We start from the raw sequence: 17,250 nt of genomic DNA on the forward strand, positions 1-17,250 counted from the left end.
GGGCTGAGCTGCTGGTTCCTGGTCTGAGCGTGGCTGTTCCGAGGACTGGGTGCTCCCTCTGAGTGCTGCAGAAGGAGGCTCAGGAAGAACCTTCCCATGTCAGGCCTGCCTTAGCCATGCCGGATTGTTGTGAGCTGTGCCCTTGGAGAAGGGGCCATTAACTCTAAGGGGTGCCTCTTACTGCTGCTTGGCACAGTTGGGTCCTAGGCCTACTCCAGCCCAGCTGAAAAAAAAAAATGGCTTCTGAAGAAGCAGTTCCTGTGGCCTGTCTGGCTCTCCAGACAAGAGGCAAGGACAGGTCTGTGGGTGCTGGGGGAGTATGCTTCCTATATTCTGGCACAGGGTGGGAAAAGGAGGGGCTTCTCTGACCTCCTTTCACTTCCTCTTTCCCCGCTTCCCCATCAAAAGCACTCCCACTTCCCTTCATCCATGCTTCAGGAGGTTGGAGAAGTGAGTGGGGACGATTTGGAGCTCCTGGTGTGCACAACCCCCCTTACCATCAGCTTCCAGAGAGCTGACTCTGCCAGACTGTCAGGCCCCATCCTCCAGCCCCAGGAGGTAGAGGCCACAGCTGCTGTGGATCAGTCAGCCAGGACAGGGGGGGGTCTGGCTGAGGGCTTGCTGCCTGCTGGTCAGACCCTGCGTCCCCAGCCTGACACTTCTGGCTTCCCCAGACCACAGAACTGTCCTTGAGGGCCCCCTGCCTTGGATGTGGCTTTGAAGGCCAGCCGGGGGTGATTTGAGAAGGTGGATGGGGGAAGAGAGAAGGAGGGCTTGGGGAGCCTGTGGTGGGCAAGATGCCAGGCCTTCTGCTGCAGAGCTGCGGGTGCCTGGGGTGAGCCAGTGTGCAGTTGCACTCTGTGCCCAGCAGAGGGCAGCCTGACACCAGCTTTTGCCACCCTCAAGACCTCAGGGTTTCCTGGCTTGCTCCTTAACCATACTCTGTCTCCTGATGGGGGAGGCCTGGGCTGAGCCAGGATTCTCTTCGTCCTCAAGTCCCCTTGCCATGAGATCTGTCAGTGGTGGGCTGGGGTGGCCACAGGAAGCAGAGGAGACTGAATGGGGACCCCTTGCTTGCCACGTGGCTCCACCTCCAAGCCGCTCTTCCCTGCCTTCCCAGGGATGGTGACCACTATGATGCCCTGAGGGACTGCCTCAAGGCCATCTCCCTAAACCCATGCCACCTGAAGGCACACTTTCGCCTGGCCCGCTGCCTCTTTGAGCTCAAGTATGTGGCTGAAGCCCTGGAGTGCCTGGACGACTTCAAAGGGAAATTTCCGGAGCAGGCCCACAGCAGCGCTTGTGATGCATTGGGCCGCGACATCACAGCTGCCCTCTTCTCTAAAAATGATGGTGGTGAGTGGGCACTGAGGAGGGGGTGCTGTTACTCTTTCTCTTTGAGATGCTGCATGACATTCTGGAGAGGTCATGGTTCTGGGATTGGAGAGGCCTGGGTTCAGATGTTGATTCAGAAACCATGCAACTTTGGGGCAGTTACTTGGTGTCTCTCTCAGAGTGTTTCCTGGTCTGAAAAGGAGGCATGCCAGCACCTCCCACTGAGCGTTTCTATTGAGGATCAGCATGTTTAAATGGCATGTTTAAAGCACCTGGGGGAGTGCCTGGTGCCCAGGATAGGAGGAAGCTGAGCTCAGTCAGGCTCCCGCTAGGCATTCACACCTGCTTAGACAGGGCCCTGGTGGTTCCACTTGGGCATCTGAGAGGCAGAAGCTGGTCATTGTGTTTGTTCCGAGTGTACAAGTGCAGCAGAGACAATAGCGCAGAGCAGTAGAAATGCCTCAGGCTTGGAATGTGGGGCCTCGGTTCCAAATGCAGCTCCACCACCTGACTGTGTGGCCTTGAAGAAAGCACAGCCTCTCTACCTACCTGCACAAAGAGCACGAAGCCCTGCCCAGCTCCCCTCAGTGTGCTGGAGAATGAACTGGGCCATCGGAGTGTGGTCTGTAAACGTGAACGGTGAGCTCATAGGAGGCAGACATGGATCTTCACCTCTCTCCTTTGCAGTTTACCAACCACGTGATAAATTAATTTGTTTAATGAATAGTTATCAGACACCTGCCATGTGCCAGGCACTGTGCTGGGTCCTGGGAATAGAGCTGTGACTAAGTCACGTGGAATTTCTGTGTTTATGGCATTTACAGTCTAGTGAAGGAACCAAGTGATAAAGGAGAAACAAAAAAGTATGACAAGTGCCATGGGGACCTGAATGGTGTGCATGCTGGGAGGGGGTGGGCTTGATGGCATTCTGGGGTTCTTCAGGAAGAAACATTTAAACTAAGATCTAAAGGATCCAAAGGAAGCATTAACTAGATACAAAATATAGCTGTGTGGCCTAGCGCGGTGGCTCACGCTTATAATCCCAGCACTTTGGGAGGCTGATGTGGGAAAATAGCTTGAGCCCAGGAGTTCAATATCAGCTAGGACAACATAGCAAGATCCCATCTCAACAAAAGAAAAATTAAAAAAAATTAGCCAGGGGTGGTGGCACACACCTGTAGTCCCAGCTCCTCGGGCAGCTGAGGCAGGAGGATCACTTGAGCCCAGGAGGTCAAGGCTACAGTGAGCCATGATCACACCACTGCACTCCAGCCTGGGTGACAGAGCAAAATCCTGTCTCAAACAACAACAACAACAAAATGTAGCTGTGGGAGATGCAGAGCTCCTGGCATATGAACCAGCATGCTCCAAGGCCCTGAAGCAGGTATGAGTGAGTCACTTTTAAGGAACTGAGAAAACTTGTGTGACTTTACCTGTCACTTAACTGATCAGTGACTCTCATTTGGGACCCTAATAACTTGTCTTCCAGAGGGTAAGGGCATGGTCCTTACTGCCCTAAGTGCCATGAATCTGTTTATAAAAGTCACCCAGGCTGGGCTCGGTGGCTCATGCCTGTAATCCCAGCACTTTGGGAGGCCAAGGCAGGTGGATCACCTGAGGTCAGGAGTTTGAGACCAGCCTGGCCAATGTGGCGAAACCCCGTCTCTACTAAAAATACAAAAATTAGCTGGGCGTGGTGGCACGTGCCTGGTAGTCCCAGTTACTCAGGAGGCTGAGGCAGGAGAATCGCTTGAACCTTGGAGGTGGAGGTTGCAGTGAGCCGAGATCACGCCACTGCACTCCAGCCTGCGTGACCATCTCAAAAAAAAAAAAAAAAGTCATCCATTCTCTCTTTGCTAGTGCCTCACTCTACCCTCCCCTGCCTCTTACCTCCACAGAAACAGACTTTGAGTCTCTGCATCTTTGGGGCTTTCAGGCCCTCATTTAGGGACCTGAACCAGGGCCCTCCTGGCATCAAAGGTCTCCTCTTGAACATCCTCAGGGGCTAGATCCAAAGATGCATCTTCCTCACAACCTTTCCCCAGTTTTCCAGGATAAGGGTGGAGGCAGGTAGCTCTATGTTGTCAGACTTTGGACTGAAAACAGAGCCATAGGTGGGGGAAAATAGGGAAGGAGAGAAAGGAACAAGGCGCTTACCTTTTCTGGATCTCTGCCCCCAGAGGAGAAGAAGGGACCTGGTGGCGGCGCCCCAGTCCGCCTCCGCAGCACGAGCCGCAAGGACTCCATCTCAGAGGATGAAATGGTGCTGCGGGAGCGAAGCTACGACTATCAGTTCCGCTACTGCGGCCACTGCAACACCACCACGGATATCAAAGAGGCCAATTTCTTTGGCAGGTCCGAGGCCCTGAAGAGGAGGGTGCAGCCCAGTTGGCAGCGGGAGGTTGAGTGGGGAGTGTTGGGGCATAATGGTTTCAGAGAAGAATCTCAAATCCCTGCTCTGCCTCTGTACCCTTGGGCAAATGGCTTCACCTTTGTCAGCCTCTAAAGTTTTTTAATCTATGAAATGACCAACCTGCCATGCCCATTTATGAGGCCATAACAAGGACTAATAAGATAACCCAAGTAGAGCCTCCAGCGCAGTGCCTGAACTACTCCTTCATCCCCCACCTCCTTCTCCCTCTGTCTGCATGTGCCAGAGCTTGGTTTCTTTATCTGCATTCAAGGAACCTCCCTCTGCTTGAGAGTATGAGGCAGCAGCCCTCCAAGGCTGGGAATCTTGGCACATCTGTTTTGTGCTCAAAACTGTGCCCTGTGTACTAAGGGACAAACTCTGTGTTTCAGACACCATCATCCCCACCCCTCATTTGTAGATGTACTTTCTTTGGGTAGGTGAGACACATGAACATGAATCAAGAATCTCTCCATAGGCCAGGCACAGTGGCTCATGCCCGTAATCCCAGCACTTGGGGAGGCTGAAGCAGGAGGATCGCTTGAGCCCAGGAGTTTGAGACCAGCCTGGACAGCATAGACCCCCATCTCTACAAAAAATGTTTTAAATTATCTGGGTGTGGTGACGTGCACCTGTAGTCCCAGCTATTCAGGAGGTTGACATTGGAGGACCAGTTAAGGCCACAGTGAGCCATGATCATGCCACTGTACTCCAGCTTGGGTGACAGAATGAGACCCTGTCTCTAAGAAAAAAAAAGAATCCATCAAGATGCCCTCTAAATGTCAGTGGTGTGTGAGGGGCAGGGGGAGTCTGGATGCCAGAAGCCTGGAACTGCTCAGGGGAGGCTTAAAACAGGGTATTTTGGAGACCCGAGAGATGATGTAAGATGATCCTGGCCCAAGGAGGTAATAATGAACTATAGGGGAGACTGTCTTGGAGAAATCCAGGTAGTCGCTGGCCCTAGGTTTAAGAGAACAGTGACCAGGGCTATATACCTGGAGGAATTCTGGGTCAAGTGCACACCCCAGCGTGTGGGGGACTGAGTGGCTGCAGACTTCCTTGCTCCCCCTTTACCTAGGCCATGCAGCCTCTACTTGAGGCTGTAGGGCAGTACCCCACCTGACCTCCCTGCCCTTTGCCCCCCCGCCAGCAACGCTCAGTATATCGTCAGTGGCTCTGACGATGGCTCCTTCTTCATCTGGGAAAAGGAGACCACCAACCTGGTCCGTGTGCTCCAAGGGGATGAGTCCATTGTCAACTGCCTGCAGCCACACCCCAGCTACTGCTTCCTGGCCACCAGTGGCATCGATCCTGTTGTGCGGCTCTGGAACCCCCGACCAGAGGTGAGGGTGCAGAGCCAAGCAGAGAGGAGGGCAGGGACTCTGTGGAAGGCTCCAGTGGAGCCTGCTAGCGCAGGGAAGAGAAATGAGCCACCCAGAGGCTAGAAGCTGCTAAGTAAGCCTTACCCCGGGGCCCAAGGCTGTGTTCTCAGATTCCAGAAGCTCCAAATGCAGCAGCAATTCTCCAGAAGCTGTGCAGAGGCCCTGGTCACAAGGGAACTATGCAGGCTTTGGCATCTGGTAGGCCTAAGTTTGAATCCAGTCTCCTCACTCGCTGCCTGAGAGACTTCACCATCTCTGACCCAGGCTTTTAATCATCTGTACATTGGGAATGGGAATGACAGCACCACCTTGAAAGGTTGTGGTGAGAAGTAAAGAAGAGATGCCTGTGAAGTGTCCAGCCCACAAGGACACTTAGGACAGTGGAGTCCCCTCCACTCCCAGGGTGGGTAGCCAGGGAAGCTGGCTTGGTGCCTCCCCTTCCCCTCTGCCCTACTGCTTCCCTCTTCCCAGCTGGCAAAACAAAAGTCAAGTGGTATGTCTGATTCCCAAGATAATTTGCTGTGACTTTTAAAGAGAGGACCCCTATAGGCTTCCCCATTGAGAGGAGAGGAGAAAGAAAGATGAAGCAAGAGTTGTGGCAACAAAACAGAATGGGGTGGGGAAGTTGTATCTGCCCCTTGTCCCAGGTATCCCAGTATGTGTGTCCAACATATCCTGGTGTGTACTGTCCCCCACGTATATCCCAGCATGTTATGACCTGCCTGTATATCCTGAGGTGGCGTATCTCCCATATATATTCCAGCGTGAGCACCCCCAACAATATGTAGCCAAGGTTGTGTGTTCCCCTCCACCATATACACCTCCTGGCATGTATGTGTACCTCCCCCTATAGATAGTTTAGTCTGTGTATTTCCCTCCCCCTCCCCTATACGTGTACCCTGGTGCCTCTCCCTCCCTGAGCCCCACGTGTGTCACCCCTTTCTCCACCACAGAGTGAAGACCTCACAGGCCGAGTCGTGGAAGATATGGAGGGTGCTTCACAGGCCAACCAGCGGCGCATGAATGCAGACCCGTTGGAGGTGATGCTGCTCAACATGGGCTACCGGATCACGGGCCTGAGCAGTGGGGGTGCCGGGGCCTCTGATGATGAGGACAGCTCTGAGGGCCAGGTGCAGTGCCGGCCCAGCTAGACCCTCCAGCCCTGGTCCCCAGCCCCTGCTACTGGCTGGACCCTCTGCCCTGGGCAGGAGGTCAGGGGATTCTGTTTTGGTTTGTCTTCCCCACCACCCTTTTTTTTCATTTCCCCTGTTTTGTTTGTTAGTTTGGCGTTAGGGGTGGAGGTTGCTACAACTTGCTGGCTTTCGGACTCTGGGCTGATTGTCCCCTGACTATCCCCAGCCCTGAAAAAAAGAGCAGGAGGGGACACCCCTCCATATGCCCCCCCCCATCTCCTGCTTTCATGTCCCTGGAGGGCTCTGGCCTGCCTCAAAACCCCTTCTGCCTCAGGTGGGGAGGAACAAGCTGAACTGTCTTCAGGGACTGTCCTGCCCTTTAGCTGGCAGCAGCAGGAGGAGTGGGATTCCCAATTGGTAAGGGCTCGCCTTGGCCTGTTGCCACTCTTGCTCCCTAGCCTGCAAGGCTAGCTCCCCTGTGGTCTTCAGGAAAGGTTTTGAAAAAGGATGGGTCCCACCCTCCCTCCAGAGCCACCAGTGTTAGAGCGGAGCCCAAAGGAAGGATGGGAGCCCTGGAGTGGGCAAGACCAGGCCACCTGCTGAGGTCGCTGTGGAGCACCCTCGCTCCTCTCCTGGCTACTAGCTCTGGCCCTGCACCTACTCTCACTGGCCACCTCTGGAGGCTCTGCCTTTCCCAAGGGCCCTGGCAGAGGGTGGGGCACTGCACCTTACCCCACCCATCCATGCCAGCACTTCTGCACTACGGCCATTCTCCTCTTGGGCGCTCCTCAGCCTCACTGTGACCTTTCTGCCAGAGCTCCCAGCCAGGCCTACTCTGCTGAGGTGGCGCTTCCTGCTAAGGGCCCTTCTCTGCCCTTTCTGCCCTCCTTCCCATCCCACATGCTGAGCCGCCACAAAGACCAAAGAAGTGATGGCTTTTCTCTGTCCCCTGCTGCTCTGAGGGGAGAGGGGTGGGTCTCCTGAGCCACTCAGATGGGAAAGTCCCTTACTCGGCCCCTCCCTCCCCAGCAGCCCCAAGCTTTACACTGGATGCAGCGATCAACCCACCACTCACCAGGCCTCTCCTCCCCTCTGCCCCCGGCTCTTAGCTCCAGCTGCTCCAGGTAGTTGGTTCATCCTTCCCCCTCTCTCCCTCCCTGCTTCCCCTTCAGTGCTTACTTGGCTCCAGCCCTCCAGCTGCAGCCCCTGGGGAAAAGCAGCCTCCCTTCTCCTCTCCCTCCACTCCCTCGCTCCCTCCCTCAGCCCCTGTCTCTGCCAGGTGCCTCCTCTCAGTCAGGCTTCAGAGCAGCCCTGGAGACAGGAGGGCCATGTTAAAAGCTTTTTCACAGTTTTAAGAAGACAAGTGGAGGGTGAGGATAGTGGTGGGGGGTCTGGCACCATCTCATTGCTTTAATCCCAGCAACACAGGTGGCAGCTTCTCCCCCTTCCTTCCCACCCCAGTCCCTCTTCCCACCCCTCTCTTCTAGCTTGGTAATGAAGTATATTTATTGGTGAAGGAAACAGCTGCTGCTGCTTCTCCTGCTGCTGGGACCTGCTCCCCTGTCTCTTCTCCGTGACCTTTCTCTAGCCAGGGAGAAGGGAGAGCAGGAGTATTGGGGCTGGGCCCTGGGGCCCAAGGACCAGCTGGGTCCCCTTTGCTTTCTTGTGTTCCAGCCACCTGCCATTTCCTCCCTGCCTCCCACCCTCCCTCCCTGCCCCCTGTCCTGCTTCCCACCCCCTGCCTGCCCAGCCTGGGCCCTGCAGTGTGGAGAGACACATAAGCCTTACTGTCCTCTGGGGGCAGGAGCCGAGCCTTTTTGTTGCTCCGCTCCCAGGAGAGTGAGGGTGACGCAATTGATTAAAACCATTTTGTTCTAGGTGTGGCTGGTGGCATTTGTGGGGTGCAGATGGGTCTTGGAACCAAAGTGAGGGCACCTGGTCCCTCACCTCTGTAGCTCTATGACTTAGTAACCACACCTCTACTGGACAGAATGAGGCCTGCCTTGAAGGGTCACCGTGAGCAGCGGCCACCCAGCCCAGCAGGGCTGAGTGCAGAGCCCAGCTCTCATGGCTGTGATTTGTAATCATCAGCTTTCACTCTCTGGCTGTTTTCTCATCAGTAAAATAAGGGACTTGGAATCTTAGTGGTTTTTCAAACCATTTTACATTGTGACCCAATATACACATGATTACTTGTAGATATGTGTGTGTGTATATATATATAAAAAAAATGAACAAAAGTTTTACACAATAATATTTACCCTTGCTACATGCAGTGTACTCTGCTTACCCTTCTGTTTTATTAGGGAAAAAAATATGGCTATAACCCACTAAATTGATTTCACATATGCAAGTTTTTGAAGTGCCCTGGATTAGATAATCTCTTAGACTATAGGTTCCTGAACTTTCTTAGCTCACAGCACCATTACCATCTCAGTAATTTTTTCATGGAGCCTCTAAGCCAAAAGAAATAACAGTTCAATTTATTAAGTAGTTAAGTCCAAATCACTTAAAAAGTATTTATGTCCTAACAAGTTAGTTGCCATTTAAAAAATAATACACCTGAATTGGAAGAAACAATATTTATTTCATTCTTTTTTTTTTTTTTTTTTTTTGAGACGGAGTCTTGCTCTGTTGCCCAGGCTGGAGTGCAGTGGCATGATCTCAGCTCACTGCAACCACCGCCTCCCGGGTTCAAGTGATTCTCCTACCTCAGCCTCCCAAGTAGCTGGGATTACAGGCATGTGCCACCATGCCCAGCTATTTTTTTTTTTTTGCATTTTTATTTATTTTTTATTTTTTATTTTTTTTTTGAGACAGTTTCGTTTTTGTCGCCCAGGCTGGAGTGCAATTGTGCAATTGCGGCTCACTGCAACCTCCGCCTCCTGGGTTCAAGCGATTCTCCTGCCTCAGCCTCCCAAGTAGCTGGGATTACAGGTGCCCGCCACCACACCCAGCTAATTTTTTGTATTTTTAGCAGAGATGGGGTTTCACCACCTTGGCCAGGCTGGTCTCAAACTCCTGACCTCAGGTGATCTGCCCGCCTCAACCTCCCAAAGTGCTGGGATTACAGGTGTGAGCCACCGCGCCCAGCCTTCATTCTTAAACAACTGCAATTACTAATGGGATCTATGCTGCCCATTGGGCACTGAACAACTTGTTAAATTTTCTAATCAAAGCAAACACTGCTGCCTTCATTTCCTGTCCCACATTGATTTTCATTTGCTTTTTATCACAGCAACCACTAAAGACCCAGCTTCTTTTTTTTTTTTTTTTTTTTTTTTGAGGCGGAGTCTTGCTCTGTTGCCCAGGCTGGAGTGCAGTGGTGCGATTTCGGCTCACCGCAAGCTCCACCTTCTGAGTTCATGCCATTCTCCTGCCTCAGCCTCCTGAGTAGCTGGGACTACAGGCAGCTGCCACCAGACCTGGCTTATTTTTTATGTTTTTAGTAGAGATGGGGTTTCACCACGTTAGCCAAGATGGTCTCGCTCTCCTGACCTTGTGGTCCACCCGCCTCGGCCTCCCAAAGTGCTGGGATTACAGGCATGAGCCACTGCGCCCGGCCAAGACCCAGCTTCTTAAAGATGACATCATCAAAAGGATTGTGGCATAATGTAATAATGGAACTGTGAACTACCTTGAGCTAATAGTTCTCTCATTAGCCAAAGATGTTGAATATCTTTCAAAATATCCTACTTTGCCCCCTGTGAATTTGCTGTGGGTGCCCTCAGGCACCTTGATGCACAGTTGGGGAACTATGGTTTAGTCTGTGGGAATAGCAGTTCCACTACTGAAACTACTGAGAGGTCCTGCCGGAAACACAATAGGTGGTATTATAAAACAGATACTGTGGGCTGGTATCATTCCTCTGTGTACCCAAATTAACGTCTGCAGAAGCTTCTTGAAGGCATTTCCAGACCAGACAAAGGAAGGACAATGTTCCAGACCAGGGAGTAGTGCAGAGTCTCAGGTTCCTTCATGAACCCTGAGTGACTCCATCTGGCTGGATTGTAGAGGGTAGACTGGAGGAGCAGTCAAACTGAAGGACTTCCTATGGCTGGTGAGAGACCACAGACTCAATCCTGTAGGCAAGGGAGGCATTGGAAGACTTCACGAGGGTCTCCATTTCATTTGGAGTTGGTACTCCATTTTTTAAAAAATTAATAGCCTTTACTTTCTAGAGCAGTTTTAGGCTTACAGAAAATTGAGCAGATAGTATAATGAGTTTCATATAACCCTCTTTCCCCAGCTCAATTTTCCCAATTATTAACATCTTGCATTAGTGTGTTGTTGTAATTAATGAACCAATATTGATACATTATGATAACTGAAGTCCATAGTTTACATTACGGTTCACTCTTTGTGTTGCAAAGTTCTATGGGTTTTGACAAATGCATGTCTCGTATCCACCATTACATTGTCATACAGAATAGTTTCACTGTTCTAAAAGCACCTTGTCCTCCACGTATTCAGCCCTCATTAGCATCCCCCCAAAAAAGTACTTAGGAATAAATCTAACAACATATGTACAAGGTTTGTATGAGCAAAACTACAAAACTGATAAAAGAAACCAAGGAAGATCAAGTAAATGGAGAGATGGTCCATGTTCACGGATAGGAAAACTCAATATTAGGATGTCAGTTCTTTCCAACTTGATCTATAGCTTCAATGTGATCCTGGTCATAGTCCCAGCAAGTTATTTTGTGAGTATCACCAACTGATCCTAAAGTTTACATGAAAATGTAGCAGACCCAGAATAGTTCCACTGTTCCACCTCCTTCTGCCTCTCCTGGTGCCGTTTGTGTGCTCATTCATTCTGTGCAGACCTGGTGCCTCATTGGTGAAGTAGCAGCTGAGGAGACTCCAGCACTCGTGTGGCTGATGAAAAGCCCAAGGAAGGAGTCAAGACTGAGAATAACAATCTTATTAATTTGAAGGTAATGGGGCAGGATTGTTCCATGGTGCAGTTTAAAATTAAAAGTCATATACCGGCCGGGTATGGTGGCTCACACCTGTAATCCCAGCACTTTGGGAGGCCAAGGTGGGTGGATCACCTGAGGTCTGGAGTTTGAGACCAGCCTGACCAATATGGTGAAACCCCGTCTCTACTAAAAATACAAAAAAATAGCTGGACATGGTGGTATGTGCCTGTAGTCTCAGCTACTTGGGAAGCTGAGGCAGGAGAATTGCTTGAACCCGGGAGGCGGAGGTTGCAGTGAGCCGAGATCGCGCCACTGCCCTCCAGCCTGGGTGACAGAACGAGATGCCATCTCATAAAAGAAAAAAAAAGAGTCATATACCACTTAGTAGAGTAATGAAAGTCTATTGTGAATGACAGAGTTTGTCAGTGAGGCAGATCAGATTCTAATTTGACAGGCAACCAGTCAATGAAACAGACACACCTGCACAGTTGGAAATGGAGGATGAAGATACAATTGATGTGTTTCAGCAACAGACAAGAAGTGTCTACTGAAAAAGGAACCTGCTTCTTTACTCTAGAACTTTGTTCTTATAGACCAAGATTACATTCTCAATTAGAAAACTGCAATTTGGTTCCACCACATCATGACTATTACTATAGTATAGTTTTCTCTATTCTTTTATTTTTCCCTTACCCATTCCCTTATTGTACATAAAATAATGGGTGTATGTTCACAAGCATTTTGCTGTTTTAAATATTAAATGGCCAATGACATCCACTTGATGTCAATCAAAACATATCTGTGGGGAAAAATACCGATTCTTGAAAATTACCTCCCTTTCTCCATCAGTGGCATGCTCATTCAACTCTTATCTTACATTGCAATGTTATTTTGTTCTCACTATTTTAACAAAAAAAAAAAATCCTTGCATACCTTATTCAATTGGAGAATTTTAATGTTTTTCATTTATCATTGTAAAACCAAGGACAATTTTATAACTTTTCGTGTATATAGCTCTTACATGTAGGGCAATCTGTCTTTAACTAGAGATAAATTACTCTTAAAAAAAAATCCTAAATAGTTTTCCTTTAAAGTCAAGCATCTTGTTGTTTAAATAAACTTCTTGTTAAAAATGGAGAAAAAGAAGAAAGACCCAGAATAACCAACATAATACTTACGAAAAACAAATTCAGAGGATTAACACTCCTGACTTCAAGACTTACTATCAAGCTACAATAATCAAGACAGTGTGGTACTGGCAAAAGAATAGACAAATAGGCCAATGGAACAAATAGAGAACCCAGGAATAGACACACACAAATACAGTCAGCTGATCTTTGACAAGGCAGTAAAGTCAATTCAATGGAGAAACGATAGTCTTATCAACAAACAGTGATGGAACAACTGGACATCCATATGCAAAAAAAAAAATCTAAACACTGACCTAACACTGTTTACAAAAGTTAACTCAAAATAGATGACAGACCTCCTAAATTTAAAATACAAAACTATGAAACTTCTAGAAGATAACATAGGAAAAAAATCCAACTTGATCTATAGCTTTAACATAATCCGAGTTGCAGTCCCAGCCACTTATTTTGTTGGATTTGGCAATGAGTTTTTAGATACAACACCAAAACCTCAATCCATGAAAGAAAAAAATTGGCAAGTTGGACTTCATTAAAATAAAAAATTTCTCAGTTAAAGACACAGTGGAGAGAATGAAAAGAAAAGCCAAGGACTGGGAGACATATTTGTAAAACACAGATAAAGGATTTGTATTCGAAATACACAACTTTTTTTTTTTTTTTTTTGAGACGGAGTCTTGCTCTGTCACCCAGGCTGGAATGCAGTGGCACAATCTCAGCTCACTGCAAGCTCTGCCTCCCGGGTTCATGCTATTCTCCTGCCTCAGCTTCCCGAGGAGCTGGGACTAAAGGCGCCCGCCACCACACCTGTCTAATTTTTTGTATTTTTAGTAGAGACAGGGTTTCATCATGTTAGCCAGGATGGTCTCGATCTCCTGACCTCGTGATCTGCCCGCCTTGGCCTCCCAAAGTGCTGTGATTACAGGCATGAGCCACTGCGCCTGGCCAAGAACTCTTAAAACTCAACAATATGGAAACAACCCAATTTCAAAATGGGCAAAAGATCCAAACACCACACCAAAGATGATTTACAGGTGACTAGTAAGCATATGAAAAGATTTTTAACATTATGTCATCAGGGAATTGCAAATTAAAACAATGAGATACCGTTGCACATTGCACACTTACTAGGATAGCTAAAATGTTAAAACTGTCCACAGCAAATGCTGACAAGGATGTAGAGGAACAGGAACTCTCATTCATTGGCAGAGGAAATGCAAAACAGTACAGCCACTTTGGAAGACAGTTTGGCAGTTTCTTACAAAGCTAAACATACTCTTACCATACAATGCAGCAGTCGCTCTGCTTGTATTTAACTAAAAGGGTTGAAAACATGACCATGTAAAAACCTGTACATGAATGTTTATATCAGCTTTATTCATGATTGCCAAAACTGGAAGCAACCAAGATGCCCCTCAAAAGGTGAATGGAGGCCAGGTGCGGTGGCTCACGCCGATAATCCCAGCACTTTGGGAGGCTGAGGCAGGTGGATCACTTGAGATCACGAGTTTGAGACCAGCCCGGCCAACATGGCGAAACCCCGTCTCTACTAAAAATACTAAGATTAACCGGGCGTGGTGGCACGTGCCTGTTATCCCAGCTACTTGGGAAGCTGAGGCAGGCAAATTGCTTGAACCTGGGAGGTGGAGGTCACAGTGAGCCAAGATTGTGCCACTGCACTCCAACCTGGGCGACGACAGAGCAAGACTCCGTCTCAATTAAAAAAAAAAAAAAGTGAACGGATAAACAAACTGATACAGCCATAAAATAGAATATTATTCATGATAAACAGAAATGAGCTATCAAGCCACAAAAAGATATGGAGGAAACTTAAATGTGTATTGCTTTGTGAAAGAAGCCAGACTGAACTGGCTACATATGATTCCAACTAGATGACTTCCTGGAAAAGGCGAAACTACAGAGACAGCAAAAAGATCAGTGGTGCTCCATTTTTTAAGAGTGTCCACATGTGTGATTCATCCAAAGCATTCATGAGCCCTGCGGATAATAGAGTCTGGGGCTCAGATGAGCCCATACTGTGAATGTATAGTAAAGCAGAGATTAGAAATAGGGACTTCTGCATTTGTGGAGGGCAAGTGTGGCCCCAGAGGGCTGCTCCTGTCTCTGCTTAAGAGCATGCCCAAATATTGTTGCAGAACTTAAAAGGTGATGAGAAGTCATCTCACTCAGAGGCTCTCAGCCCTAGCTGTAAATCAGAATCACCCAGGATGCTTTTATAACTTTCCATGCCCCACCCCAGAGATTCTGTTTTAATTGGTCTGAGGTAGAGCCCAGGCATCCGTCCTTTTTTTTTTTTTTTTAAGAGGTGGGGTCTTGCTTTGCTGCGCTGGCTGGAGCACAGTGGCTGTTCACAGGCGCTCCCACTACTAAACAGCATGGGAGTTTTGTCCTGCTCCATTCCTGACCTGGGCTGGCATCCATTGTTTTAAATCATCCCAGGTTCATTTTACTGTGCAGCCAGAGATGAGAACCACTGATCTAGCTCTATCTCCACATTGTACAGATAGGGACCATGAGTTTCAAAGAGTGGCAGGAAAAGGGATGGGCTTGCCTGAGGCACCCTAGTGAATTAGAACCAAAGTCAGGACTGGATTTCTGATCCCTAATTCCTAGTCCAATTCTTTTTTTTTTTTTTTTTTGAGATGGAGTCTCACTTTGTGGCCCAGGCTGGAGGGCAGGACGTGATATTTCGGCTCACTGCAACCTCTGCCACCCAGGTTCAAGCAATTCTCCTGCCTCAGCCTCCCGAGTAGCGGGAATTACAGGCATGTGCCACCACGCCCAGCTAATTTTTGTATTTTTAGTAGAGATAGAGTTTTGCCATGTTGGCCAGGCTGGTCTCGAACTCCTGACCTCAGGTGATCGCCTGCCTTGGCTTCCCAAAGTGCTGGGATTACAGGCGTGAGCCATCACGCCCGGCCTAGTACAATTCTTTATAAACCATTTTCTTATAATAGGTCACAGTACTTTTTTTTTTTTTCTTTAAATAGAGACAGGGTCTTGCCATATTGCCCAGGCAGGTCTCAAACTCCTGGCCTCAAGTGATCCTCCCGCCTCAGCTTCCCTAAATGCTGGTATTACAGGTGTGAGCCACCATGCCTGGCCCATGATACTTTTGAGCTCCTACTCTGTGTCTGGCATTGGGCCAGGCATTGGCATAACAAAATTGTACACAACATATTCCTTGCCTTCCTGGAGTCTCCAGATTATCTGGAGGAATAGCAAATACAGGGATTGTACAAGGTTGCTGAACACTGGATTTTACTGTGAAATGTGAGTCCTCCCCAGTATATTCTGCCATCATTCAGTGCCCCACACGTGCCAGGTTCTTTGTCAGGTCTAGGGATATTAACATGTCTGGCAGGGGTGGCGGCCCGAAGAAGGAATGTGCCACTTGGTTGCTCTGCCTCCTGCTCCCACCCAGTTCTTTTTTTACATATAAAATAAGGTCCTGGTCCTAATGAGGCCATAGTTTACCCCTATTTTACAGTGATTTAGAGACTCTCACGCTGGTCTCCCCTCATCACTCTAGTAAGTCCTAAAAGGGGTCATCACCAGGCCAAATGTAGTGGCTCACACCTGTAATCCCAGCACTTTGGGAGGCTGAGGCAGGAGGATCACTTGAGGCCAGGAGTTCAACACCAGCCCAGTCAACATGGTGAAGCCCCATCTCTACTAAAAATACAAAAATTATCCGGGCATGGTGGTGTGCGCCTGTAATCCCAGCTACTTGGGCGGCTGAGGCATGAGAATCGATTGAACCCAGGAGGCAGAGGTTGCCGTGAGCCAAGATTGTGCCACTGCATTCCAGCCTAGGTGACAGAACAAGACTTTGTCTCAAGAAAAAAAAACAAAACCTTAGGAACACAAAGAAGGAGACAGACACTGGGGTCTGCTGGAGGGTGGAGGGTGGGAGGAGGGAGAGGAGCAGAAAAGATAACTATCAACATCCAGGCTTAATACCTGGATGATGAAATTAATAATGGCTCACTGGCCAGGCGTGGTGGCTCACACCTGTAATCCCAGCACTTTGGGAGGCCGAGGTGGGTGGATCTCCTGAGGTCAGGAGTTCGAGACTAGCCTGACCAATATGGTAAAACCCCCGTCTCTACTAAAAATACAAAAATTAGCCGGGCATGGTGGCATGCACCTGTAATCCCAGCTACTTGGGAGGCTGAGACAGGGAGAATCACTTGAACCTGGGAGGCGGAGGTTGCAGTGAGCCAGATCGCGCCATTGCACTCCAGCCTGGGCAACAAGAGTAAAACTCCATCTCAAATAAATAGACAAACAAATAGTGGCTCACTGCAGCCCCCCCAGGCTCAAGCAATCTTCCCGAGTAGCTGGAGTAGCTGGAATTACAGGCATGTGCCACAATGCCCAGCTAATTTTTTTTTTTTTTTTTTTTTTTTAGTAGAGATGAGGTCTTGCTGTGTTGCCCAGGCTGGTCTCAAACTCCTGAGCTCAGACAATCCTCCCCTCTTGGCCTCCCAGAGTGTTGGGATTACAGGTGTGAACCACCACGCCTGGCCTATTTCTCATTTTAGAGAGAAGGAAACTGATGCCCTACCAGGTTCTGCTACTTTCCTAAGGTGCGACAGATATTGACAAAGCTTAAGTTCAAACACTGAGCTGGCTGACTCCTGAGTCCACATGTGTAGCCATCATGCTTTCCTGGGCACCCCAAAGTGGGAGACTTAGATTCTGGTCCTAGCTGTGCTTTCTATAACCTTGGGTAACTTAGCCCATCTATAAAATGGAATGGAGGCCGGGTGCAGTGGCTCACGCCGGTAATCCCAGCACTTTAGGAGGCCAAAGTGGATGGATCACTTGAGGTCAGGAGTTAAGGCCAGCCTGGCCAACATGGTGAAACCCCGACTCTAGTAAAAATACAAAAAT

The 17,250-nt window shown here is 49.0% G+C and overlaps 1 protein-coding gene across 10 annotated transcripts in view, besides 6 other annotated features; it reads left to right on the forward strand.

Annotated features, from left to right (window-relative positions):
- WDTC1 (WD and tetratricopeptide repeats 1) overlaps positions 1–8,531 on the forward strand; it is a 74,196-nt gene extending 65,665 nt beyond the window's left edge. For 7 of the 10 annotated variants that reach the window (XM_047449749.1, XM_047449760.1, NM_001276252.2 and 4 more), the window contains 4 exons: positions 1,121–1,356; positions 3,516–3,690; positions 4,896–5,088; positions 6,081–8,531. In XM_047449749.1, the coding sequence (XP_047305705.1) occupies positions 1,121–1,356; positions 3,516–3,690; positions 4,896–5,088; positions 6,081–6,278 (802 nt within the window). In that variant the 3' untranslated portion in view covers positions 6,279–8,531. Of the gene's footprint in view, positions 1–1,120; positions 1,357–1,833; positions 2,395–3,515; positions 3,691–4,895; positions 5,089–6,080 lie in introns of those variants that run through there. The other 3 variants (NM_001410767.1, XM_047449761.1, XM_011541058.4) reach the window with 2 other exon arrangements.
- Positions 553–612: an enhancer, noted in NCBI's record as "active region_541". NCBI's record gives its function as "activates an Ori minimal core promoter by ATAC-STARR-seq in GM12878 lymphoblastoid cells {active_cell/tissue: GM12878}" and the evidence as "EXISTENCE:reporter gene assay evidence [ECO:0000049][PMID:35858748]".
- Positions 758–1,270: an enhancer, noted in NCBI's record as "H3K27ac-H3K4me1 hESC enhancer chr1:27627354-27627866 (GRCh37/hg19 assembly coordinates)". NCBI's record gives its function as "activates a minimal SCP1, AML or CMV promoter by ChIP-STARR-seq in naive H9 embryonic stem cells {active_cell/tissue: H9 hESC(naive)}" and the evidence as "EXISTENCE:reporter gene assay evidence [ECO:0000049][PMID:30033119]".
- Positions 1,271–1,784: an enhancer, noted in NCBI's record as "H3K27ac-H3K4me1 hESC enhancer chr1:27627867-27628380 (GRCh37/hg19 assembly coordinates)". NCBI's record gives its function as "activates a minimal SCP1, AML or CMV promoter by ChIP-STARR-seq in naive H9 embryonic stem cells {active_cell/tissue: H9 hESC(naive)}" and the evidence as "EXISTENCE:reporter gene assay evidence [ECO:0000049][PMID:30033119]".
- Positions 7,151–7,676: an enhancer, noted in NCBI's record as "NANOG-H3K27ac-H3K4me1 hESC enhancer chr1:27633747-27634272 (GRCh37/hg19 assembly coordinates)". NCBI's record gives its function as "activates a minimal SCP1, AML or CMV promoter by ChIP-STARR-seq in naive H9 embryonic stem cells {active_cell/tissue: H9 hESC(naive)}" and the evidence as "EXISTENCE:reporter gene assay evidence [ECO:0000049][PMID:30033119]".
- Positions 7,677–8,202: an enhancer, noted in NCBI's record as "H3K27ac-H3K4me1 hESC enhancer chr1:27634273-27634798 (GRCh37/hg19 assembly coordinates)". NCBI's record gives its function as "activates a minimal SCP1, AML or CMV promoter by ChIP-STARR-seq in naive H9 embryonic stem cells {active_cell/tissue: H9 hESC(naive)}" and the evidence as "EXISTENCE:reporter gene assay evidence [ECO:0000049][PMID:30033119]".
- Positions 8,203–8,727: an enhancer, noted in NCBI's record as "H3K27ac-H3K4me1 hESC enhancer chr1:27634799-27635323 (GRCh37/hg19 assembly coordinates)". NCBI's record gives its function as "activates a minimal SCP1, AML or CMV promoter by ChIP-STARR-seq in naive H9 embryonic stem cells {active_cell/tissue: H9 hESC(naive)}" and the evidence as "EXISTENCE:reporter gene assay evidence [ECO:0000049][PMID:30033119]".

The sequence above is a fragment of the Homo sapiens genome, chromosome 1 (genome assembly GCF_000001405.40).
Source record: "Homo sapiens chromosome 1, GRCh38.p14 Primary Assembly".
NCBI classification, from domain to species: domain Eukaryota; kingdom Metazoa; phylum Chordata; class Mammalia; order Primates; family Hominidae; genus Homo; species Homo sapiens.